We start from the raw sequence: 26,915 nt of genomic DNA on the forward strand, positions 1-26,915 counted from the left end.
CTAGTCTCGGCAATCAGTTTTTGAATATAACATCAAAGGCTCAGGAAAAAAAATATGGACATACACATGGTACCACATCACTGTATAAAAAATATCTCAAAAATATTCAAGGCAGGGCTTTAATTACATGCTTACACATCTATTTAAAATATCCCAAAAAAGCCGGGCGCGGTTGGCTCATGCCTGTAATCCCAGCACTTTGGGAGGCCGAGGCAGGCACATCACGACGTCAGGAGATCGAGACCGTCCTGGCTAACATGGTGAAACCCCATCTCTACTAAACATACAAAAAATTAGATGGGCATGGTGGCAGGTGCCTGTAGTCCCAACTACTAGGGAGGCTGAGGAAGGAGAATGGCGTGAACCCAGGAGGCGGAGCTTGCAGTGAGCCGAGATTGCACCACTGAACTCCAGCCTGGGCGACAGAGCAAGACTCTGTCTCCAAAAAAAAAAAAAAAAAAAATATATATATATATATATATATATATATATATATATATATCCCAAAAATATTCAAGGCAGGGCTTTAAATACATGTTTACACAAGCATGTTCATTATTATTTACAAAAGACAATTCCTGGAAACACAAATGTCCCTTTAGAGATAAATATCAGATTTTTAAAATGTGACATATACATACAATATTTTATTTTAAAACAAAGATATTCTGACACGTCTCTGTGGAGAAAAAGTTAAATATTACATTTGAACTCAATTGAACATGGACACAAACAATGGTCACCAAGTTCCCAAACAGGTTGTGTGAGCCCCTTGACGTCTTCAGCCAGCACTGTTTTGAAGAAATCTCTATTTCAATCTATTCCTATACGTTAGTTATTGAAAAAGAATAGACAATCACAAAAACAAGTTGACCATTTTGTGTTCCTTGAGCCCAGTTCACGAAATGCCCTAGTGATGGGACCTCGTGCCAAACAACTCATTACAAAAATAGCTAGGGTCTCATAGCATGACGAAGCTTCATGAGACCCCTCCTCGTCTGTGCACAGATGGTGGCTGACTCTGGAGCCCAGGCTGTTGCTTCCCAGTCTGGTGGTGAATTCTCCATAGTCTGGTGAATGTAAATATATATACCCTTTCTCCCTTCTCCACTTCCCACTGCAATTTGGTTATTACATTTGCTTATTTTATTCTTATTCTGCATTGCTATTTACGTGAAATAAAGGTTGTTTATCCTTAAAGGTATTGTGTGTGTGTCTTCTTCTCCCCTAACGCATTTCCTGCACAGAACATTTTGGGTGTCAGGAACAGGATCCAAAAGCGAAAACGTGCCATTTTTCAGCCACGAGGACTGGGCTGGGAGGTTGGGGGCTTCCCATATCCTGGGATGGGAACTCCCCTAGTTCTCTCCCTTGGCCATTGAGTGGTCCAAGGGAACTGGCCTTTTTGAAAATTGGGAATCTAAATTAGTGCATTTTGAACCATTGGCTGTCTGTGAGGTGCTGCAGGGAATCCCAGTTGGTAAAGGGAATGCTGAGGTAATTTCCCGGTATAGATGGTGCTTGCTTACTGCTTGTAAGTTAATGTGTCAAGATAGGGACTGGTTGCTACACGAGAAATGTAAGCTGGAAAAAAAGTGCTAATCTGACATCCTGACTGGCCCTGGCCAGGCCTGTGTCTTGACTGACCAGGCTGAAAGCTATCAGCCTATTGCTGAAAAAAGCAGCTGTCCAAATAGCCGGTCAGGGTAAAACTGAAGAACTAGTCGGCTGGGGCTTGCAGCAGGTAAAAACCCAGCTCCTATCTCAAGGATGGGAAATTAACCCTAGGAAAATTCAAGAACCTGCAAAAACTGTAAAATTCCTTGGCATCCTCTGAAATACACGGTAATAGTCCATTTTACAAAAGGCTAAGGCTAAAATACTAGAATTTGCAACCCCTACCACTAAAAAGGAGGCCCAGAAATTTATTGGCTTGTTTGGATTGTGGAGACATCATATGCCCCACATGGGTAACATTTTACAACCTCTGCGTGCAGTCACTAGAAAACGCTATGACTTTCACTGGGGACAGAAAGAGAGCGTGGCTTTTCAACAAGCTGAACAAGCGGTGCAACTGACCCCAGATCTATGGCCCATACGAAACAGGCCAGTAGAACTGCAAGTAGCTGTCCTAGATCAACATGCTAATTGGAGTCTTAGGCAGAAACAAGGTGGGAAGAGGGTACCTTTGGGGTTTTGGACCCAGAAACTGCCATAGGCTGGCAAAGCTTATACCCCTTCCAAGAAGCAATTGTTAGCTTTTTATTGGGTTTTGCTGGAAACAGAGGACCTCTGCTTCAACCATGAGGTCTTTATGAGGCCTGAAATTCCTATTATGACTTGGGTCATGAGTTTCCCCAATACTCACCAGATAGGGCACACTCAAGAAAGCAGCATTATAAAATGGAAATGGTATACACAAGATAGGGCTAAGCCAGGACCAAAGGGGATACTGCTTTTGCATAAGGATGTACAAAACTTGCCAGCTCAGAAAACCACTGAGCAAGCCCTTCAGTTAGGGAAGGAAACCTCCCCCATCCAATGGGACAAATCCTTTAAAAAACTAAGCCCAGAGGACCAGAAACATGCCTGGTTTACTAATGGACCACCAAATACACTGGTGGCACTCGACGCTAGAAGGCCGTGGCTTACAGTCCTGTTAGAAAACATAAGCATTTCTGATGAAGGAAAAGGTGGAAGCAGCTAGCTGGTTGAACCAGTAATGGTCCTCTGAGCTATTTAGGAGGAGGCCAGAGGGATTTGTCAGTTGTATACCAACTCTTGGTCAGTAGCAGATGGTCTTACTACCTGGTTGCCCCAATGGCAATGAAACAAATGGTTAATTGGGAATAAAGAGGTTTGGGGAAAAAAATACTGGGAAGATACCTGAATCCTGGCACACACCACCATTATCACTGTTCTCCATGTTGATGCTCATGCATCTCTGTTTTCTCTTGACAGACTATTTAATCAGCTGGCAGATCAACAGGCCAAAATTTCCACCACAACTGCAAACTTGAATGTGGATGAATGGATTACATGTTCAAGCCTGGTAATGAGAGGCATTATAATGGAATAACCTATCTACTAATGGTCAGCACATGTGTCTTTGTATCTGAGGCCAAGGATAAATTCATCAACTGGGTAGCCACCACTATAGAAGAAGCCAACCACAATCAATGTCGGCTATGCGTCCAGCTGCCAGAGGCCGCCAGGAATGAGCTACCTTGAAGAATCGTCCGTGACAACATTTCTGAATGGCTATGTCACTATCAATGGGGCCACAACAACAACACTTGCAATCCAACCTGAACTTCCTATGACCAAACCAAGCAATCTATTTATGCCCAAGTCAAGTGAAAGGTGAACTCCACCTTCACCATGCATCAAAAGCCTTGGTATCCTGCCCAATATGCCTGGAACGGTATATATTGGGAACCTGCTGTGCTGGTGGCCGGATTCCATATAGCTCCCCACCCACCCGCCACTTTGTCTGGAGGCCTTAAATGGCTCCTCTAATGTTCCTCTGGGTTTCTCCCACCAGACAACTGTCAACACATACTCCAAATCAACAGCATTGTCCCTAATGAAACACAATCTCTTTCCTACTTTAATAACACATTAGTACACTATGATTACAGTAACTATATTGCAGTCCCCTGGGGGGGCCCTCTGGATATGTGGATACTACGGGTGGTGATACCTGCCCCTACAATGGACAGAGAGATACACTTGGGGGTGGCCATTAATTCCATCCACCATACAAATGCGCTGGACTCCCTGGTGGTGATAGCCTACTACAGTATTCTCCCCTGCTGCTGGTACAATCCTGCTTCAGCAGCAAATTAAAATATTAAGTTTACATGTAGACAAAGCTCTTAATGATAGTAGCACTGGACTTATGTTGTTGTCAGAGGAATTTGCTCAGCTGTGTACTGTTGTGTTGCAAAACTGAATGGCATTAGATATGCTTACCGCAGCCCAAGGAGGGGTTTGAGCCTTACTGCATACTGAATGTTATGTGTATATCCCTGACAATTCTCACAATCACTCTCCTTGCAAAGCCATGGTGGGTGTGGTTTTTATTAACTCTGCTTTTAGTTCTCCTGTGCTTACCTGTATCTGTAATCTATATCAACTATGCCTTCCCCATGTATCTGTAAGGGTATTTTCCTACAATTGAGGATCAAACTGAGGCCGAATGTGGAGGAAAAGTTAAATATTAAATTTGAACTCAATTGAACATGGACACAAACAACGGTCACCAAATCCCGGAATGGGCTGTGTGAGCCCCTTGACACGTTCATCCAGTGCCGTTTTGGAGAAATCTCTATTTCAATCTATTCCTATATGTTAGTTATTGAAAACAATAGACAATTGCAAAAACAAGTTGATCTTTTTGTGTTCCTTGAGCTCAGGTGCAAAAGCCCCTCGTGACTGGGCCTCATGCCAAACAACTCATTACAAAAAGAGCTAGGGTCCCACACTGCGCCAAAGCTTCACGAGACCTCTCCTCATCTGTGCACGGATGAATGGTGGACTCTAGAGCCCAGGCTGTTTTGCTTCCCGGTCTGGTGGTGAATCCTCCATAGTCTGGTGAATGTAAATATATGTATCTCTTTTCCCTTCTCCCCTTCCCACTGCAATCTGCTTATTATATCATTTGCTTATATACCTACATTGCCATTTACATGGGATAAAGGTTGTTTACCCTTAAAGATATTGTGTGTGTGTCTTTCCTTCTCCTTTCACCCCGCAGCACACAACAATCTTACAAAAACAAAAGCCTGAGGCCAGTTGTCCTGGCTCACACCTGTAATCCTAGCACTTTGGGAGGCCGAGGCGGGCGGATCAGCTGAGGTCAAGCGATCGAGACCATCCTGGCCAACACGGTGAAACCCTGTCTCTACTAAAAATACAAAATTAGCTGGACATGGTAGTGCACACCTGTGGTCCCAGCTACTTGGGAGGCTGAGGCAGGAGAATCGTTTGAATCTGGGAGGCAGAGGTTGCAGTAAGCCGAGATCGTGCCACTGCGCTCTAGCCTGGCAACAGAGCAAGACTCCATCTCAAAACAACCAACCAACCAACCAAAAACCAAGCCTAAGAACATTATGTGAAGACAGTAAAAAAGAAAAAAAAAGAAAGAAAAAATATTACACCAATGACAATATAAAAATCAGTCAAAATTACAGAAACAGTAAGTAAAATGGTGTTCTTCAAGAGCTGAAGAAAAAGAAAAAAATGGCAGTTTATAGTTCATAGAGTATTAAACTTTACTTTTGTAAGACAAAATGTAGAGATCCATTTCAAAATAATGTAAATGTACTTAACCCCACTAGACTGTACACTTGAAAACCTTTAGGCAATTTTATGTTTTTCATCACAACTAAATATTTACATCTACCTAAAAAGGTTCCATTTTTCAAAAATCACCTTTGAATAACAAGTGTTTCTCTCACAAAACATAATCAAACAATAAATAGGTGGTAATATTCCACTGTTTCTTTGCCTACTCACCTACAAAAGAAAACAGTCATGATCACCAAAAAAATTTTTATTTATTTATTTATTTATTTATTTATTTATTTATTGAGATGGAGTCTCGCCCTGTCACCCAGGCTGGAGTGCAGTGGCACAATGTCGGCTCACTGCAACCTCCGCCTCCCGGGTTCAAGTGATTCTCCTGCCTTAGTCTCCTGAGTAGCTGGGATTACAGGCATGCGCCACCACACCTGGCTAATTTTCTATTTTTAGTGGAGACAGGGTTTCTCCATGTTGGTCAGGCTGGTCTTGAACTCCTGACCTCAGGTGATCCACCCGCCTCAGCCTCCCGAAGTGCTGGGATTACAGGCGTGAGCCACCATGCCCGGCCTATCAAAAAAATAATTTATAAACCAGGTAAGGGCAATATTTATAAAGGCAAACATCACATAGATAACTTTTATAGGCAATAGAAATCTCTGAATTATACATATATTTTAAATTGCTTCGAGTAAAACCTAATGATTTTTATTTGAATGAATTTTATTTGAATTAAACACCACATGGTCATAAAAGGTACAGAGTTGAAAATTACCATACAAATATGAAAATTAAAAATAGGCCAGGCACAGTGGCTTATGCCTGTAATCCCAACACTTTGAGAGGCCAATGTGGGCGGATCATGAGGTCAAGAGATCGAGACCATTCTGGCTAACATGGTGAAACCCTGTCTCTACTAAAAATACAAAAATTAGCTGGGCGTGGTAGCACACGCCTGTAGTACCAGCTACTTGGGAGCCTGAGGCAGAAGAATCACTTGAATCCGGGAGGCGGAGGTTGCAGTGAGCCGAGACTGTGCCACTGCACTCCTGCCTAGCAACAAAGCGAGACTCCATAATTAATAAATTAATAAATTAATAAATAAATGATGGAGGAGAACCTACATGAAAACACTCCCCAGTAAAATAGAGTTGAAAGAATAAAAAATTCTGATCTATAAAACACTGAATATAATATAGATGTATCATAAAAACAATCCTTTAACTACAGTTTTCAACTCTGACTATGTACTTAATGAAGATCTGGCATTTTGAATCCTTACATGCAAAGAAAATGCATCTCAATTAAAAAATGCTCTAATAAGAATGAAGCATTTCAATACAATTATTTATTACACAATGAGTAAATGTGAGCATTTTATTTCAGAAATTTTGAATTTGAAATCAGATAAATTTGACATAGAATGTATCAGAAACTGAAAACACAGTAAGATGGCAGGAGGTTCTCTACCCACAACTTCTACAGTTATAAAAAAGCAGCAGTTATGTCCTGAAAAAAGGAACTTTATGGGAGCTTTGGAATCCATGTCAAGGGTTGTGAACCCAAGACTGAGGAGGGCTGTATTGAAAAGACATGCCCTTGCTTGAGTGGCATGCTTGCCCATCACAGTCCCAGCTACAGAATAAAATGTGTCCAATTTTCATTGTAGACTTAGCTGTAGACCATTTGGTTTTGTTCCTGCTACTAGCACCATCTGTGAAGACACCTAAACCAAGACACCTATGCCTCAGGTGAAAGGCCTTTAGAAGTTGGTTCTATCTGTGATCTCTGAATTAGCCCAAAATCCACCCTTTGCACATATCAGTCATGGTGTGGAAGAAATCCTGCCCAGACACCCACAGAGAGAAACATCCATCTGTGCCCCTGGATGTAGACTTGCCAATATTTATTTATGGTGGATCTTGACGTGGCACTATAACCTGATTCCAAGTCCATGCAACCAAAGTCCGGAAGAATTTTTTCCTAACCTGGGACCTGCCAAAAGACACACCTGTATGTGCCCCTGTAGGCATGCTGACTTTATTCCCACTGTGAATCGTGAAGCAGTCCTATAACCAAGCTCTGGTCTCTGTCACCTAGAGTCTGAAAGAAGTCCTGCCAACCCAGAAATCTGGAGGGAGAAATGCCATGAACCCAAAAACAGACCTGAAGACTTTGGTCTCAGCTGTGTATCCTGAAGCAGCCCTATGAATCAGTTCCACACCCTCTTAGCTGTGATCAAGGGTCAGTACTGCTCATTTAGGAACCTGTCCAATGACTAGGTTAGAGCATTTCCAAATACCTCGCAAGAGCGACACAGCGGGAGCCACACCTGCTCACATTGATTTGTATCAGCACCTTAATCTGCAGATATAACTGGAAGCTTTTTTCCTCAGTGCCAGTCATATTGATCAACATCTTGAAGAAAGTTCAGTCTTCTCAGAAAATAGATAGAATCCACAACTGTCTGATGCCCAGATAACAGGTCTCCCAAGCATGAATTTCACTGCAGACCCAGTAGGACTTATGTGACCTGGATCTGAAACACTTTATTACAATCTCAGTGGAAATCTCATCAGCCCAGAATCCAACAGAAGATATTTACCTCCCCAAACTAGTCTATAATGACTGAAAGAGGTATTTACTCCTTCAGATGCAAGGACATCAAAACAAGGCTTCATGACTTATGAAGGATCAGGCAAACATAACACCACTAAAGGAAACTAAAAATGCTCCAGGAACCACTAACAATAACACACAGATCTAAGCCAGGCGTGGTAGCTCACGCCTGTAATCCCAGCACTTTGGAGGCCAAGGCGGGCATATCACCCAAGGTCAGGAGTTCGAGACCAGCCTGGCCAACATGGCAAGACCCCATCTCTACTAAAAATACAAAAATTAGCAGGGCGTGGTGGCATGTACCTGTAGTCCCAGCCACCCAGGAGGCTAAGGCAGGAAAATCGCTGGAACCCAGGGGGCAGAGGCTGCAGTGAGCTGAGATTGCGCCACTGCACTCCAGCCTGGGTGACAGAGCAAGACTCCGTCTAAAGAAAAAAAAAACAGATCTAAAAAATGCCTAACAGAAAATGTTCAGGGCAGCCAGAGAGAAAGGTCAGGTTACCCACAAAGGGAAGCCCATCAGACTAACAGCAGATCTCTCTGCAGAAACCCTACAAGCCAGAAGAAAGTGGGGGCCAATATTCAACATTCTTAAAGAAAATAATTTTCAACCCAGAATTTCATATCCAGCCAAACCAAGCTTCATAAGCGAAGGAAAAATAAAATCCTTTACAAACAAGCAAATGCTGAGAGATTGTCACCACCAGGCCTGCCTTAGAAGAGCTCTTGAAGGATGGACATATGAAAAAGAAAAACCGGTACCACCCTCTGCAAAAACATACCAAACTGTAAAGACCATCAACACTATGAAGAAACTGCACCAACTAATGGGCAAAATAACCAGCTAGCATCATAATGACAGTATCAAATTTACATGTAACAATATTAATCTTAAATGTAAAACGGCTAAATGCCCCAATTAAAAGACACAGACTGGAAAATTAGAGTCAAGACCCATCAGTGTGCTATATTGAGGAGACCCATCTCATGTGCAAAGACAAACACAGGCTCAAAATAAAGGGAGGGAGGAATATTTACCAAGCAAATGGAAAGCAAAAAAAAAAGCAGCAGTTGCAATCCTAGTCTCTGATAAAACAGACTTTAAACCAACAAAGATAAAAAACAGAAGGGGTCAGGTGCAGTGGCTCACACCTGTAACTCCCAGCACTTTGAGAGGCCGAGGTGGACAGATCACGAGGTCAGGAGATCAAGACCATCCGTGGTTAACATGGTGAAACCCCGTCTCTACTAAAAATACAAAAAATTAGCCGGGCGTGGTGGCGGGCGCCTGTAGTCCCAGCTACTCAGGAGGCTGAGGCAGGAGAATGGCGTGAACCCAGGAGGCAGAGCTTCCAGTGAGCTGAGATTGTGCCACTACACTCCAGCCTGGGCAAGAGAGCAAGACTCCGTCTCAAAAAAAAAAGGTGGGGGAGGGGGCATTACCTAATGGTAAAGGGATGAATGCAACAAGAAGAGATAACTATCCTAAATATATATGCACCCAATACAGGAGCACCCAGATTCATAAAGCAAGTTTTTAGAGACCCACAAAGAGACTTAGACTCTCACACAATAATAATGGGAGACTTTAACACCCCACTGTCAATATTAGATCAATGAGACAGAAAATTAACAAGGATATTCAGGACTTGAACTCACCTCTGGACCAAGCAGACGTAATAGACATCGACAGAACTCTCCACCCCAAATCAATAGAACATACATTATTCTCGGCACCACATCGCACTTAATCTAAAGTTGACCACATAACTGGAAGTAAAACACACTTCAGCAAATGCAGAAGAAAGAAAATTATAACAGTCTCTCAGACAACAGTGCAATCAAATTAGGACTCAGGATTAAGAAACTCAAAACTGCACAACTACATGGAAACTGAACAACTTGCTCCTGAATGACTACTGGGTAAATAACGAAATTAAGGTAGAAATAAATAAGTTCTTTGAAACCAATGAGAACAAAGACACAACCTACTAGAATCTCTGGTACACAGCCAAAGCAGTCTTTGGAGGGAAATCTATACCACTAAATGCCCACAAAAGAAAGCAGAAAAGACCTAAAATTGACACCTTATCATCACAATTAAAAGAACTAGAGAAGCAGGTGCAAACAAATTCAAAAGCTAGCAGAAGACAAGAAATAACTAAGATCAGAGCAGAACTGGAGGAAATAGAGACACGAAAGACCCTTTCAAAAAAAAAAAAAAAAATCAACAAATCCAGGAGGAGGTTTTTTGAAAAGATCAACAAAATAGATAGACCACTAGCAACACTACCAAAGAAGAAAAGAGAGAAGAATCAAATAGACACAATGAAAAATGATAAAGGGGATATCAACACTGATCCCACAGCAACAAACTACCATCAGAGAATACGATAAACAACTCTACGCAAATAAACTAGAAAATCCAGAAGAAATGGATAAATTCCTGGACACATACACCCTCCCAAGACTTAACCAGGAAGAAGTTGAACCCCTGAATAGACCAGTAACAAGTTCTGAAATTGAGGCAGTAATTAATAGCCTACCAACCAAAAAAAGCCAGGACCAGATGGATTCACAGCCAAATTCTACTAACGGTACAAAGGGGAGCGAGCTGGTACCATGCCTTCTGAAACTATTCCAAATAATAGAAAAAGAGGGACTCCTCCCTAACTCATTTTATGAGGCCAGCATCATCCTGATAACAAAGCCTGGCAGAGACACAACAAAAGAAAAAATTTCAGGCCAATATCCCCGATGAACATCGATGTGAAAATCCTCAATAAAATACTGGCAAACCAAATGAATCCAGCAGCGCATCAAAAAGCTTATCCGCCATGATCAACTCAGCTTCATCCCTAGCATGAAACACTAGTTCAACATACGCCAATCAATAAATGTAATCAATTACATAAACAGAACCGATGACAAAAACCACATGATTATCTCAATAGATGCAGAAAGGGCCTTCAATAAAATTCAACACCCCTTCATGCTAAAAACTCTCAATCAACTAGGTACTGATGGAATGTATCTCAAAATAATAAGAGCTATTTATGACAAACACAGCCAATATTATACTGAATGGGCAAAAGCTGGAAGCATTCCCTTTGAAAACTGGGACAAGACAAGGATGCCCTCTCTCACCACTCCTACTCAAAATAGTATTGGAAAGCCGGGTGTGGTGGCTCATGCCTGTAATCCCAGCACTTTGGGAGGCTGAGGTGGGTGGATCACTTGAGGTCAGGAGTTCAAGACCAGCCTGACCAATATGGTGAAACCCTGTCTCTACCAAAAATACAAAACTTAGCCAGGCGTGGTGGCACATGCCTGTAATCCCAGCTACTCGGGAGGCTGAGGCAGGAGAATTGCATGAACCCAGGAGATGGAGGTTGCAGTGAGCCAAGATCACGCCACTGCACTCCAACCTAGGTGACAAAGCAAGACTCCATCTCAAAAAAATAAAAATAGTATTGGAAATTCTGGCCAAGGCAATTAGGCAAGAGAAAGAAAGAAAGGGTATTCAAATAGGAAGACAGGAAGTCAAATTGTCTCTGTTTGCAGATGACATGATTGTATATTTAGAAAACCCAATCGTCTCAGCCCAAAATCTCCTTAAGCTGATATGCAACTTCAGCAGTCTCAGGATACAAAACTGATTTGTAAAAATCACAACATTCCTATATACCAATAATAGACAAACAGAGAGCCAAATCATGAGTGAACTCCCATTCACAACTGCTACAAAAAGAATAAAATACCTAGGAATACAATTTACAAGGGATGTAAAAGACCTCTTCAAGGAGAACTACAAACCACTGCTCAAGGAAATAAGAGGACACAAACAAATGGAAAAACATTCCATGCTCATGGATAGGAAGAATCAATTATCATGAAATGGCCATACTGCCCAAAGTAATTTATAGATTCAATGCTATTCCCATCAAGCTACCACTGACTTTCTTCACAGAATTGGAGAAAACTACTTTAAATTTCATATGGAACCAAAAATAGCCCATATAGTCAAGACAATCCTAAGCAGAAAGAACAAAGCTGGAGGCATCAAGATACCTGACTTCAAACTATACTACAAGGCTACAGGAACCAAAACAGCATGGTACTGATACCAAAACAGAGATACAGACCAATGGAACAGAACAGATGCCTCAGAAATAACACCACACATCTACAACCATCTGATCTTCGACAAACCTGACAAAAACAAGCAACAGGGAAAGGATTCCCTATTTAATAAATGGTGTTGGGAAAACTGGCTAGCCATATGCAGAAAACTGAAACTGGACCCCTTCCTTACACCTTATACAACAATTAACTCAAGATGGATTAAAGACGTAAATGTAAGGCCTAAAATCATAAAAACCCTAGAAGAAAACCTAGGCAATACCATTCAGGACACGGGCATGGGCAAAGACTTCATGACTAAAACACCAAAAGCAATGGCAACAAAAGCCAAAATTGACAAAAGGGACCTAATTAAACTAAAGAGCTTCTGCACAGCAAAAGAAGTTATCATCAGAGTGAACAGGCAACCTACAGAATGGGAGAAAATTTTTTTGCAATCTACCCATCTGACAAAGGAATAATATCCAGAAACTACAAAGAACTTAAACAAATTTACAAGAGAAAACCAAACCACCCCATCAAAAAGTGGGCAAAGGATATGAACAGACAGTTCTCAAAAGAAGACATTTATGTGGCCAACAAACATATGAGAAAAAGCTCATCGTCACTGGTCGTTAGAGAAATGCAAATCAAAACCACAATAAGATACCATCTTATGCCAGTTAGAATGGCAATCATTAAGAAGTCAGGAAACAATAGGTGCTGGAGAGGATGTGGAGAAATAGGAATGCTTTTACACTGTTGGTGGGAGTGTAAGTTAGTTCAATCATTGTGGAAGACAGTGTGGCGATTCCTCAAGGATCTAGACCCAGAAATACCATTTGACCCCATAATCCCATTACTGGATATATACCCAAAGGATTATAAATCATTCTACTACAAAGACACATGAACACGTATTTTTATTGCAGCACTGTTTACAGTAGCAAAGATTTGGAACCAACCCAAATGCCCATCAATGGTAGACTGGATAAAGAAAATGTGGCACATATACACCATGGAATGCTATGGAGCCATAAAAAAGGATGAGTTCATGTCCTATGCAGGGACATGGATGAAGCTGGAAACCATCATTCTCAGCAAACTAACACAAAGACAGGAAACCAAACATCGCATGTTCTCACTCCTAAGTGGGAGTTGAACAATGAGAACACATGGACACACCAAGGGAAACATCACACACCGGGACTTGTAAGGGAATGAGGGGGCTAGGGGAGGGATAGCATTAGGAGAAATACCTAATGTAGATGACGGGTTGATGGGTGCAGCAAACCACCATGGCATGTGTATACCTATGTAACAAACCTGCACATTCTACACATATACCTCAGAACTTAGAGCATAATAATAAAAAATAAATTGCTAATACAGATGAAAAAAATGGCTAACAGAGAATTCAAAATAATTATCTTAAAAAATCTCGATAAGATGCAAAAGTACAAAGATTACTAAATTTTTTGCAACAATGTATGAAGAAAATCAATTATAATAAAGAGAAATCATTAAGAAGGAACCAAGGAGATATGCTGAAGCACACAATAGTAGAACTAAAAAATTTTAACAGAAAGCTTTAACAAGGAGACTCAATTATACACAGGATAAAATCAGCAAACTTTAAAGTCATTTGAGGCTGGGTGCGGTTGCGCACACCTGTAATCCCAGCACTTTGGGAGGCCAAGGCGGGTGTATCACCTGAGGTCAGGGGTTCAAGACCAGCCTGGCCAACATGGTGAAACCCATCTCTACTAAAAATACAAAAATTGGCTGGACATGGTGGCAGGTGCCTGTAATCCTAGCTACTTGGGGGCTGAGGCAGGAGAATCGCTTGAACTTGGGAGGCAGAGATTGCAGTGAGCCGAGATCACACCACTGCACTCCAGCCTGGGCTACAGAGCGAGACTCCACCTCAAAAAAAAAAAAAAAAAAAAAGTCATTTGAAAGTTCCTAATTAAAAAAGAAAAAAATGAAAGAGTGAATAAAGCATATAGCTTCAATAATCTGTTAATGGTACATAATAATGTAATATAAAAAGATGTAAAGTGTGACATAAATAGTGTGTTGAAGGGAGTAAAACTGTTTAATATTTTTATACATAGAGGTTAACTTTTGCTTGAGGCCAGGAGTTCAAAACCAGTTGGTCAATATAGCAGGACCCTGTCTCTAAAATAAATACAGGAATAAAATAAAATAAAGATTTCAGAATGCTATTTAGTCTTTTTTTAAAAAGCAGCAGCTGGGGCTGGGCGCGGTGGCTCACGCCTGTAATCCCAGCACTTTGGGAGGCCGAGGCGGGAGGATCACGAGGTCAGGAGATCGAAACCATCATGGCTAACACAGTGAAACCCTGTCTCTACTAAAAATACAAAAAAAAAAAATTGGCCAGGTGTGGTGGCAGGTGCCTGCAGTCTCAGCTACTCGGGAGGCTGAGGCAGAAGAATTGCTTGAACCCAGGAGACGGAGGTTGTGGTGAGCCAAGATCGTGCCACTGGACTCCCGCCTGGGTGATAGAGCAAGATTCCATTAAAAAAAAAAAAAACAGCAGCTGGGCCTGATGATACATGCCTGTAAACCTAGCACTTTGGGAGGCCATGGCAGGTGGATTTCTGGAGCCTAGGAATTCAAGACCAGCCTGAGCAACATAGCAAAACCCTGTCTCTACAAAAAAATACCAAAAAACTTAGCTGGACCTGGTGGCGTGTACTTGTATTCCCAGCTACTTGGGAGGCTGAGATGGGAAAATTGTTTGATATTGGAGAGTTGAGGCCGAACTGAGCTGTGAATGCACCACTGCACTACAGCCTGGGAAACAAAGCAAGACCCTATGTGAATAAAAAAGAAGTTAGATTGTTATCTTAAGCTAGGCTTTTGTTTTTTGTTTTTTTTTTTTTTGAGACGGAGTCTCACTCTGTCGCCCAGGCTGGAGTGCAGTGGTGCCATCTCGGCTTACTGCAAGCTCCGCGCCCTGGGTTCACGCCATTCTCCTGCCTCAGCCTCCCAAGTAGCTGGGACTACAGGCATCCACCACCATGCCCGGCTAATTTTTTTGTATTTTTAGTAGAGATGGGTTTCCACCATGTTAGCCAGGATGGTCTCGATCTCCTGACCTCATGATCGGCCTCGTGATCGGCCTCCCAAAGTGCTGGGATTACAGGCGTGAGCCACTGTGCCTGGCCAAGCTACGCTTTTATAATTATGAGATATTTTATGTCTCTTGGAAATTACAAAAAAAAAACAAAACAAAACTGTAGTAGATACACACACAAAAAAGGAAACCAAAGCATATAACAATAGAAACAAAACAACTCAACACTACACAAGGGAAGACAGCATGAAAGGATTAAAAAACAGAAACTACTACATGGTCAGAAAACAATGAACAAAATGGTAGTCATAAGTTATTTCTCTGCCTTTTATCTTTTTTGTTGTCGTTTTTCTTTTCTTTTTTTTTTTTTTTGAGGTGGAGTCTCACTCTATCGCTCAGGCTGGAATGCAGTGGCACAATCTTGGCTCACTGCAACCTCCACCTCCAGGGTTGAAGCGATTCTCCTGCCTCAGCCTCAGTTATTAAAAGAAAACTGCAGAACTCCTCGTTGGTTTTCCTTTACCTAATGATTTCTGTGAAGTGAGACTTGGGTAGTAAGAAAAAGGAATTAAGACACTCTACCTGCCACCCTGCATGCGTGTGCACTCGCACACATGCTGTCTTCATGTAATCCAGTACCTTTACTTTCCTTTGAAACTGGTAAGGTTAAAATGGGGGGAAATCCTATATGTTTGCAATAATACCTTTTTGGAAAATTTAAGAAATCAAACTCCCCAGGCTCTCCATCTTCATTTATGCTTGAGTTGTTATGTGCTTTGAACTCTGATTATCAGAAGTTTTACTAAAATGTTGAAGAAATAATTCACTTTCATCTGCTTTCTACATTTTGTACATCTCAGTTCATAAAGGAAAGCTTGTTGATAGTGTAGTTTTCTAAATGCTGCAAATTTGCAGCCATTACCACTACCAAAGAAGTCTGAATGAGGGATTTTTTTCTTTCTTAAAATAGTTCCTGTTTCTGTAGAAATTTCATTTGTAGATTAAACTGCGATGGATGAGATATCAAAAAAACAAAGAAAGAAAGTGACATCTCAGGAGAAATCACTCATTATGGCAAAGAGAGTACCAAAGGCAATGGTATTAAATGATTCATGAGAATCCAACCATATAATCCAGTCACCTCCCACCAGGCCCCACCTACAACATTCAGGCTTACAATTTGATGTGAGATTTGAATGGCGCCACAGATCCAAACCATATTACTTACAAAAGCCAAAAAGTGAAAAACCTCAAACATCCTTCAACAGATGAATAATTTAAAAGGATGCGGCTTGGCCGGGCGCGGTGGCTCACGCCTGTAATCCCAGCACTTTGGGAGGCCAAGGCAGGCAGATCACAAGGTCAGGAGATAGAGATCATCCTGGCTAACACGGTGAAACCCCGTCTCTACTAAAAATACAAAAAAAAAATTAGCCGGGCGTGGTGGCAGGTACCTGTAGTCCCAGCTGGAGGCTGACGCAGGAGAATGGTGTGAAACCAGGAGGTGGAGCTTGCAGTGAGCCGAGATTGCGCCACTGCACTCCAGCCTGGGTGACAGAGCAAGACTCCATCTCAAAAAAAAAACAAACAAACAAAAAAGGATGTGGCTTACATGGCTTACACATACAATGAAAAATTCTTTAGAATCAAATGAAAATATCTTGTCGGATCATACAATAAGGATAAATCTTAAAGCCATTATTTTAATAAGACACTATTTAGACACCATTATTTAATAAGACACTAACAAAGTGACAATGTATGATTCCACTTACATAAGATATTTTAAGTAGTAAATTCCTAGAAAACATAAGTAGAATGGTGCTTGCCTATAGTTAGGGTTGTGAAACCTCAGTGGAGTCAAAGACCAAGGAAGGGTTATTTGGAAAAAGCAGGCCCTCACCCAGGTGGCCAACTCCAGAGCCCATAGACATGGCTACAGACAAGAAAATGGTGCATGCAGCTTGGTCTTACTGAGGATTATGAAGCAGTTCTCAATCTCAGCTGTAGTCCAGAAATGGTCCTTCCCATCAAGAGACCTGCAGGAAGACACACCCAGCCATGACCCTGGAGGCAGGCCTGCAGATCCTGGCCTCAGTTGTGCTCCTTGAAGCAGCCCTGTGACTCAGTTCAAGCCATTTGTAGTCACAGTCCGTGGCCACTCGTACACACTCAGAGGCCCACAGAGAGACCTATAAAAACTGTTCCCAGGGGCTGGGCGCGGTGGCTCACGCCTGTAAGCCCAGCACTTTGGGAGGCCGAGGCGGGCAAATCAGGAGGTCAGGAGATCAAGACCAGCCTGGCTAACACAGTGAAACCCCGTCTCTACTAAAAATACAAAAAATTAGCTGAGCGTGCCGGGTGCGGTGGCTCACACCTGTAATCCCAGCACTTTGGGAGGCCGAGGCGGGCGGATCACGAGGTCAGGAGATCGAGACCGCGGTGAAACCCTGTCTCTATTAAAAATACAAAAAATTAGCCTGGCACGGTGACGGGCGCCTTTAGTCCCAGCTACTTGGGGGGCTGAGGCAGGAGAATGGCATGAACCCAGCAGGCGGAGCTTGCAGTGAGCTGAGATAGCACCACTGCACTCCAGCCTGGGTGACAGAGTGAGACTCCGACTCAAAAAAAAAAAAAAATTAGCTGGGTGTGATGGAAGCGCCTGTACTCCCAGCTAGTTGGGAGGCTGAGGCAGGAGAATCGCTTGAACCTGGGAGGCGGAGGTTGCAGTGAGCCAAGTTCATGGCACTACACTCCAGCCTGGGCGACAGAACCAGATTCCGTCACAAAAAAAAGAAAAAAAAAAACTGTTCCCAGGTAGTCAGTAAAAGCTAAACCCATTTATACACCTGGTATTTGGGCCATCATATGCAGACAAATTTCAAAACCCAATCCTACTGCCTGCCATATAGATTAATGTCCTCAAGGAAATCTAATCTTTCCAGGGCCCAGAAAGAATCTGTGACTGTCTAAATCTCTGGTAACACAACCCTCAAAGGCAGGCCACACAGCAGACCCAGCAGCACCCTTGAGACTCAGCTACAACCCTTCTTCTCTGCAACCCCAGAGGTAATCTCATCAGCCTGGGGACCCAACAAAAGGAGATGTTTACCTGTCAAAAAACAGATTATACAAACTGTAATCATTGTTAAATCCTTAAAATATACAGACACAGGGCTGCTTCAGGGACCACAGCTGAAGCCAAGATCTGCAAGCATGCCTCCAGGACCACAGCTTCTATCTTAACATTATTACCAAAAGTTTGTATCAGAACAATTAGGCAAGAAAAAGGAGAACAAAGCTCTCCTGCCTGCAAAAGAAGAAAAAATGTTACTGTTTGTAGATAATATGATCATGCATATATATGAAACCCTAGAGTAGAATAACAAAAACTGAACTAATAAATGCATTCATTAAGGTATCAGGATACATAACCAACATGTAAATACTTGCAGGTTGTTTTTTTGTGTGTTTTTGAAACATGGTCTCACTCTGAGGCCCAGGCTCATCTCAAACTCCTGTGCTCAAGTGATCCACATGCCTTGGCCTCTGAAAGTGCTGGGATTACAAAAATGAACCACTACACCTGCCCCAACATACAAATATTTGTTTCATTTCCATAAAGTAACAACAAAATTTCCCAAAAAAAAGAAAAAAATTCAATTTACAATACTATAAAAATAAGAAATTCAAAATAAATTTAACAAATGAAATAAAAAATTTATACATTAAATACAATAAAGCACAAAATCTAGTGTATAACAATAAATGTATACACTAAATACAATAATGACAGAAATTGAAGCAGACACAAACACATATTTCATTAGGATCACTAATATTGTCAAAGTATATTATCGAAAGTGATTTGTAGATTCAAACGCGATCCCTATCAAAATTTTAGTGTCATTTTTCACAGTAATAGAAAACACAATTGTAAAATTTAAGTGTAACCTTAAACAACTTTAAATAATCTGAGCCATCGTGAGAAAGAACAAAGCTAGGGGCATCATACTTCTTAATTTTAAACTTTATGTAAAGGTTGTAGTAAGCAAAAGAGTATGGCATGTGCATAAACACACATACAAAAACCAATGAACAGAATAGAGAGCCCAGAAACAAATCCATGCATACAAGGTCAACGAATTTTGGCAAGGGGATCATGAATATACAATTCAGAAATTATAGTCTTGTCAATACATGGTGCTAGAAAAACTGGAGAGCCACAAACAAAAGAATAAAAGTAGAACTTTTTTTTTGAGATGGTCTCGTTCTGTTGCCCAGACTGGAGTGCAGTGGCGCCATCTCGGCTCACTGCAAGCTCCCGCCTCCCGGGTTCACGCCATTCTCCTGCCTCAGCCTCCCGAGTAGCTAGGACTACAGGCATCCGCCACCATGCCCAGCTAATTTTTTGTATTTTTAGTAGAGACAGGGTTTCACCACGTTAGCCAGGATGGTCTCCATCTCCCGACCTCGTGATCCACCTGCCTCTGCCTCCCAAAGTGCTGGGATTACAGGCGTGAGCCACTGTGCCTGGCAAAAGTAGATCATTGTCTTATACCATACCCCAAAATTAACTCAAAATGAAACACTTACACGTAAGACAAAAACCTTAGAACTCCTGAACAAAACATATGGAAAAACCTTGATACTGGTCTTGGCAATAATTTTTTGATATGCCATCAAAAGCAAAGCAACAACAAAAAATACAAACAAGTGGGATTGTATCAAAGTAAACTGCTTCTTCACAGCAAAGAGAAACAAAATTTCTAAAAACTCTACAGGATAGAAATATTTGCAAGCGATATACCTGATAACAAGTTAATTTTGGGAGAACAAGGCGGGAGGATCACTTGAGGTCAGAAGATCGAGACCGGCCTGACCAACATAGAGAAACCCCATCTCTACTAAAAATACAAAATTAGCCAAGTCTAGTGGTGCATGCCTGTAATTCCCAGCTACTTGGGAGGCTGAGGCAGAAGAATCGCTTGAACCCAGGAGGCAGAGATTGCAGTGAGCCGAGATCATGCTACTGTACTCCAGCCCGGGCAACAAGAGCAAAACTGTGTCTCAAAAAATAAAATAAAATAAAATAGAAGGCTGGGCGCAGCAGCTCACACCTGTAATTCCAGCAATTTGGGAGGCCAAGAGATCGAGACCATCCTGGCCAACATGGTGAAACCCCACCTCTACTAAAAAATACAAAACTTAGCTGGGTGTGGTGGTGTGCACCAGGAATCACAGCTACTCGGGAGGCTAAGGCAGGAGAATTGCTTGAACCCAGGAGGCGGAGTTAGCAGTGAGCTGAGATCATGCCACTGCACTGTAGCCTGGTGACAGAGGAAGACTCTGTCTCAAAAAAAAAAAAAAAGAAGTTAATATCCATATCCAAAATGTTTAAGAAACTTCTGCAATTCAAAGCAAAACAATAATAATGATGATAACCCATTCAAAAATGGGCAAAAGGTTAGATTTTTTTTCCCAAAGACATACATACAAGGTATATGCTGTATGCTGTTAGTGAGATGTAAATTGATAAAATCATCATAAAAACCAGTAAAAAATAAAAATGGACATATCATATAATCCAGCAATACCACTTCTGGTCATACTACCAAAGGAAATTAAATTAACACCTTGAAGAAATATCTTCAGCCCCATGTTCATTGTAGTATTTTTACAATAGCCAAAATATAGAGTGTATATATACACAGTAGAATATTATTCAGCCATAAGAGAAAAGAAAATCTAGTCTTTTACAACATGGATAGACTTGGAGGACATGATGCTAAATGAAATTAGCCAAACACAGACAGACAAAGAAACTGCTTCTTTTTACATAGACGGGTAAATCTAAAAATGTAAACTCATAAAAGCAGAAAGTAGAATGGCGATTGTTAGTGCCTAAGGGTGGGAATATGAGATGTTCAAAGAGTATAAATTTTTAGTTATAAGTTGAATAAGTTGAATAAGGAGAAACCTAAGGAGAAACCTAATGCTAATGTACATTAGCATTAGATTAGCAAAACAGTATTCCATTTATAATTAATAATACTGTAATGTATGCTTACAATTTGCTAGGACACTAGGCCTTAAGTGTTCTTATTACCAAAAAAATCATGATCTATATGAGGTAATAGATATGTTGATCAACTTGATTATATTTTACTTTACAATAAAATATATGCATATATTACAAAATATATGCATATCAAATCATTACATTGTACACATTAAATATAGTTAAACAATTTTTATTTAACAGAAAAATCCATGTCACACAAACACAGATGAAGAGTAAGTCCTCACTTAATGTTCAAAACAGGTTCTTGAAAACTGCAACTTTATATGAAGCAATGTTGCTATATACCAAACATAACTCGTTTGTATCAATTAAACTTTGCTAAAATTATTATTTTTTGTTTTTTGGTTTTTTTGAGACGGAGTTTTGCTCTTGTCTCCCAGACAGGAGTTCAATGGCGCAATCTCGGCTCACTGCAACCTCTGCCTCCCAGGTTCAAGTGATTCTCCGCCTAAGCCTCCCAAGTAGCTGGATTACAGGCACCTGCCACCATGCCCAGCTAGTTTTTTGTATTTTTAGTAGAGACAGGGTTTTGCCATGTTGGCAAGGCTGGTCTCAAACTCCTGACCTCCTGATCTGCCCACCTCAGCCTCCCAAAGTGCTGGGATTACAGGCGTGAGCCACTGCACCCAGCCCTAAAATTCATTTTCCTAAATGATATGTTGCTTCACTTACAGTTTCTGAGAATCTATCAACAATGTTAAGAATTTACTATACACATATATAACTTACATAGCTGTGTGTGTGAGACACACATTTTTATATAGATATATCTCAAAAGACATTCTACAAAAATAGAAAATAAAACTCAGAGGGAGTATTAGGAATTATGCATTAAAGTTATCCTCACCTAGGGAGACCAGGTTTCTGTAGTTCTCCAACATCACATCTCTATACAAATTCTGCTGGGCAGGGTCCAGGCATTTCCACTCTTCTGGAGAGAATTCTATGGCCACATCCCTGAATGTTAAGGGTTCCTGAAAATACATATGTATCAAGTGACAGAGTTCTTAATTTGACTACAGGTGAAATGTGTTAAGAGAACCAGTTCTGACATGTGACTGACTGGGATTATCTGATAAAACAACTTTCAACACAGTAATGTTCTCTAAAGTATTCTATAGCTCTGCGGAAAAAGGAAGGCATTCCAACAGTTTCTGTTCCTGCAATAAAAATAATGGGCTACACTGACCTGCCCCTACCAAAACCAAGCAGAGTAGGCCCTGTGACCTCCTGGAAAACAGGTTGAACTCACCTCTCATGAAAATATCTGGAAGTCCTCATGCTTGACCTTGGCCTTGCTATAATATGCGAGGAACTTAATTTAAAAAACAGAAATGTTTCCACCCAGAACAATAGACAGGATGTGAGGGGAGGGCACAGGTGATGATTTCACTTCACTACGGGAAGACTGGGCTGAGAGTCACTTAGCTAAGCACTGTCTCTCAAGCTTCAATGCGCATATCAATTATTTGATGTTAAAGGCCTCACTGTACCAAAATTTTGCAGGTTTGAAAAGAGTCCATGAGTTAGCGTCTTTTATCAAGTCTCCTGTTAACGGTGATGCTCCTCCACCTGGACCCATTATAGTACTACTCGGCTAGAGAAAGCAGACACAGCACACAGAGTCCCTTACCCCAACACAAACGCTTTTCATCCCAAGACAAGACCACCAATCATCATCCTGATGCCACTCGGGAGCAGCCACGCGGAGGAGGCGCACAGGGCAAGGGGACTGGTGGGAAAGTTGGGGCGGGCTGGTGATTCGCTTCACTTCCTCACACACCTCACAAAAGTCTTTTTTTTCAAGACCCGCTGGCAGCCCCCAAGCCACGAGCCACAGCCGGCGCTGCCCCATTAATGAGTCCCCGTTTGCTCACATGAACTCTATGTTTTGATGGGGCCTCGATCTCATTCCGTAAAGTAGGGACAGGACCCCTGGACCACAGCTCCTCCTACGCGGTACCTGCGCACGCCGCACCTGGCGTCTTCCCGATGAGCTTCTCCTCACCCCACAGCCCGGGGAAGGTGCAGGGTTGCGGCGCAGAGCTGCACAAGGAGGGCTGCAGGCTGGGCCAGAGCAGCCTTGCGGGGACCCCGACAGGAGCGCGGGTCCCTCACCGGAGGGGACTGAGGACCGAGGGCTAAGCGGCGGCAGCGGGGACTCCGTTCGCAGACTCAGTCCCGCCGCCGCCATTTGCCGCCGGTTCTGATGAGGCCTCCCCAGCCTTGGGACGCCCTGCCCCGCACACTCACCATTTCTCAGCTTCAAGGGTGTCGCGAAGTCTTAGCTACGAATCATCCAATACCCGCAGGTTACAGAGCGATGGAGGCTGAGGCTCTGGCAAAATCACCGAGGCCTCCCTGAGGTGTGGAAGCAGGGAAGTGAGGCCCTAACCGAGCTCAGGCTGAAGCAACAGGCCAAGGCCGCCGAAGATCCCGGATGCCGCCCCCTCCTCTCAGACTGCGCGCCTGATTGGGCAGTTCTCAGTCAAGCGCTCTGATTGGATATGGGTCCAGGCTTCACGCCCTCAGGCTTTGAATGACAGAAATTGTGACCATACAATGCACTGAATGAGGCAAGAGTGACAGACTAGTACCTCCAGGCACTTTCAGGCGGCGCTTAATCTCTGTGCTAGGCTTGGCTCTGCACAGGGTTCATTTTAACCTTCTGGTGTGTAACGTTACGTCAATTTATAAATTGTGCACGCGCGCGCGCACACACACAGACACACTTGTTCACAAATGGAAACAATATAGTGACAATTATTTTAATATTTTACATTTCATAACCTTTCTGGCCTGTGGTGTTTTGAGTAGGACACCTGAGATTTGAAGAGGAAAGCAAACCTCTAAAAAATAAAATGTTAGGCTGAGCACGGTTGCTCACGCCAGTAATCCCAAAGCTTTGGGAGGCCGAGGTGGGGGGATCACGGGGTGAGGAGTTCAAGACCAGCCTGGCCAAGATGGTGAAACCCCGTCTCTACTAAAAAATATAAAAATTAGCCAGGCATGGTGGTGGGCGCCTGTAATCCCAGCTACTCATGAAGCTGAGACAGGAGAATCGCTTGAACCTGGGGGGTGGAGGTTGCAGTGAGCTGAGATCGCGCCACTGCACTCCAGCCTGGGCGACAGAGTGAGACTCCGTCTCAAAAAATAAACAAATAAATGAATAAAATGTTGGCCGGGCGCAGTGGCTCACGCCTGTAATCCTAGCACTTTGGGAGGCCGGGGCGGGTGGATCACGAGGTCCGGAGATCGAGACCATCCTGGCTAACACGGTGAAACCCCGTCTCTATTCAAAATACAAAAATTAGCCGGGCGTGGTGGGGGGCGCCTGTAGTCCCAGCTACTCGGGAGGCTGAGGCAGGAGAATGGCGTGAACCCAGGAGACGGAGCTTCTTGTTAGTTGAGATGGCGTCACTGCTCTCCAGGCTGGGTGACAGAGCCAGACTCCGTCTCAAAAAAAAAAAGCTAGCTTTATCTAATATGAATTTTTTTAGCCTAATTATTTAGTTATTTTACTTTTGACTGCCTTAGTTCATCAGCAATTGTTAGTAATATTTTGGCCTTTATATTACAAGTCATAATACTCTTTGCAGACTTACTAATATTTTTTTTTACTGTAAACCATCACCCTCTACAGGGAAGTGTTTGCTATGCCCCTCCTAGATTTAAACCTCAAAGTCATAATCTGAGTATTGATCTCTCTCTCTAATACTCATTGTGTTCACAGTATCTCTTAATCAGCAAGCATCTCACTTTGGTCCTAATCTACTTTCTGTGGAACTATGCAACCTAATGCTCTATGGTCATTACTCATACTTCTGGCTAAAATCACCTTCATATGCACTAATTGTCAACAACCTTTTTTTAGCACTCTATAGGCAGCTCCACAACTACTAAAGTCTACCAATTCTTCCTATGCCTCAACCTGTTAGCTATGCATGAATTCCTCTTCATTCAGGGTAGGAATGTCCTACTTGGTCATAGTACAAGAATGGCCAACCTCTTAGTCCCAATATAGCTTCAACTACCACCGAGACCTCACTATACCAAAGCTTCCCCCTACTAACGTGCTATTTCTAACACAAGCTAAAGCAGCCTTTAAAGATTTTCTTAAGCCCACCCCCACCGTTTTAAGCCCCTTGTTCTCCCGTTACCCTTATTGACCTGATTCCTCTATACATCTATGCTACCATAAATTCCAGAATCCATGTGGGTGTATTTGACTGAGCACAATGCAACACAAACAGCACCATTATTGATACTTCTCAAACTTTTTTTTACTTTCATGAAATATTCCCAATACCAAATGAGATTCTCTGGGCCCTTTAAATATTTTAACTCCTGGACCATTCATCCAAAATGATACCACTGAATTCTGCTTCAGTCACCCTTCTTGCAGTCAATCCAACTCATGGTATTGACCAAGCCAGTATGGATTATGCAATAAGTTTCAAGTCTTTCATTCCTTCCAGAAAACCCTTCTCCTTGATACTACTAGACACATGGTCTTCTAAGAAAATAGGACCCATTGTCCTACTCAAACTAATCACCCATGTCTGGCTCCCCTGATAGCAGCAACTGTATTGGCAGAATATCATATATTGGGTAGCCAGCAAGGACACTGGTCAATGTTTGAATCTGAACTTACCTCCTGAATTCATTCTTGTTTTTCAACTGCAGAACTTTACTTCCTCTGGGAAATGCAGGCTTATCTCTGCCTCCCTGCAAACTGGACCAGAACAAACATTCTGGCTTACCTCACCCCTTAAGTTTCCATTGTCCCAGGTGATGCTTCTCTGCTATTACCCTTATTTACCACACCATTTAACAATAATTAACACTTATTTACCCACACCAGATCGACTGAGCAGTTGATCTAATTTCTTTCCGCAATGAGCTTGGCACCACAAGTGCCACCACAGAAATAGCTGGCATTATTATTGCCTCCTCAGCTTACCACAGCCTGTCTCAGGAACTGACTCACAAAATAGAAACCACTGCTCCAACTCTAAGTTACAGCAGCAATTTGATTCTCTCATGGTTGTAGTTCTCCAAAATTGTAGAAGTCTTGACACACTGGCTGCAGCTCACAAAGGAATTTGCCTTATTTTAGGAGAAAAATGCTGTTTCTGGGTTAACAGCTTAGGGAAAGTCCAGAATTAAGTTAGAGATCTTATAAACTAAGCCATCCTAAACACGCCACTGAGAGCTAGTTCTCCCAGGGTGCCACCTGGTTCCAATTCTCATGGCATCTCATTTTCTTGGGATCTCTGGCCTTTTTCTTGTTTGTTTTTCCTCACTCCTTTTTGGGCCTTGTTCACTAAATCTACTAACCAGGTTTGTCTTCTCTGACCTCAGACTACAAGTGGTCCTGCAACAGGAATATTGATCTATTTTCCTCCCTTCTGGACAACCATCTTCCTCCACATTTCCTCTGACACTGCAAGTCAAACCTTCTGGGAAAACATGGAAAGTATCTTTCCCTGACAAAGAGCAAGAGAATGAGACACTGGTGAGTTCCTTTTTTTTTTTTTTTTTTTTTTTGGAGACAGAGTCTCGTCTCACTCTGTATGGGCTCACTGCAAGCTCCGCCTCCTGGGTTCATGCCATTCTCCTGCCTCAGCCTCCCAAGTAGCTGGGACTACAGGCGCCAGCCAACACACCCAGCTAATTTTT

At 42.3% G+C, this 26,915-nt stretch overlaps 1 protein-coding gene and 2 pseudogenes across 2 annotated transcripts in view, besides 3 other annotated features; 1 reads left to right on the forward strand and 2 right to left on the reverse strand.

Annotated features, from left to right (window-relative positions):
- The window catches only part of ABCA11P (ATP binding cassette subfamily A member 11, pseudogene), a 48,775-nt pseudogene extending 25,060 nt beyond the window's left edge, over positions 1–23,715 (reverse strand). The window contains exons 1-2 of the transcript NR_002451.2: positions 23,487–23,715; positions 22,081–22,207 (exon numbers count right to left, since the gene is read on the reverse strand). The product of NR_002451.2 is annotated as an ATP binding cassette subfamily A member 11, pseudogene (transcript). The remainder of the gene's footprint in view (positions 1–22,080; positions 22,208–23,486) is intronic.
- ZNF721 (zinc finger protein 721) overlaps positions 1–26,915 on the reverse strand; it is a 59,169-nt gene that overhangs the window by 10,507 nt on the left and 21,747 nt on the right. The window contains exon 2 of the mRNA NM_133474.4: positions 22,081–22,207. Coding sequence (NP_597731.2) covers positions 22,081–22,114 — 34 coding nt within the window. The 5' untranslated portion in view covers positions 22,115–22,207. The remainder of the gene's footprint in view (positions 1–22,080; positions 22,208–26,915) is intronic.
- Positions 15,117–15,313: a silencer, noted in NCBI's record as "fragment chr4:459400-459596 (GRCh37/hg19 assembly coordinates)". NCBI's record gives its function as "represses an EF-1alpha promoter that drives an FKBP-Casp9 reporter gene in an ReSE screen in HepG2 liver carcinoma cells {active_cell/tissue: HepG2}" and the evidence as "EXISTENCE:reporter gene assay evidence [ECO:0000049][PMID:32094911]".
- Positions 23,405–23,644: an enhancer, noted in NCBI's record as "active region_21127". NCBI's record gives its function as "activates an Ori minimal core promoter by ATAC-STARR-seq in GM12878 lymphoblastoid cells {active_cell/tissue: GM12878}" and the evidence as "EXISTENCE:reporter gene assay evidence [ECO:0000049][PMID:35858748]".
- Positions 23,695–23,914: a silencer, noted in NCBI's record as "silent region_15098". NCBI's record gives its function as "represses an Ori minimal core promoter by ATAC-STARR-seq in GM12878 lymphoblastoid cells {active_cell/tissue: GM12878}" and the evidence as "EXISTENCE:reporter gene assay evidence [ECO:0000049][PMID:35858748]".
- On the forward strand, positions 25,103–26,610 carry LOC100533735 (endogenous retrovirus group FRD member 1, envelope pseudogene; annotated as a pseudogene).

Source organism: Homo sapiens, chromosome 4 (genome assembly GCF_000001405.40).
Source record: "Homo sapiens chromosome 4, GRCh38.p14 Primary Assembly".
In the NCBI taxonomy this organism is placed as follows: Eukaryota; Metazoa; Chordata; class Mammalia; order Primates; family Hominidae; genus Homo; species Homo sapiens.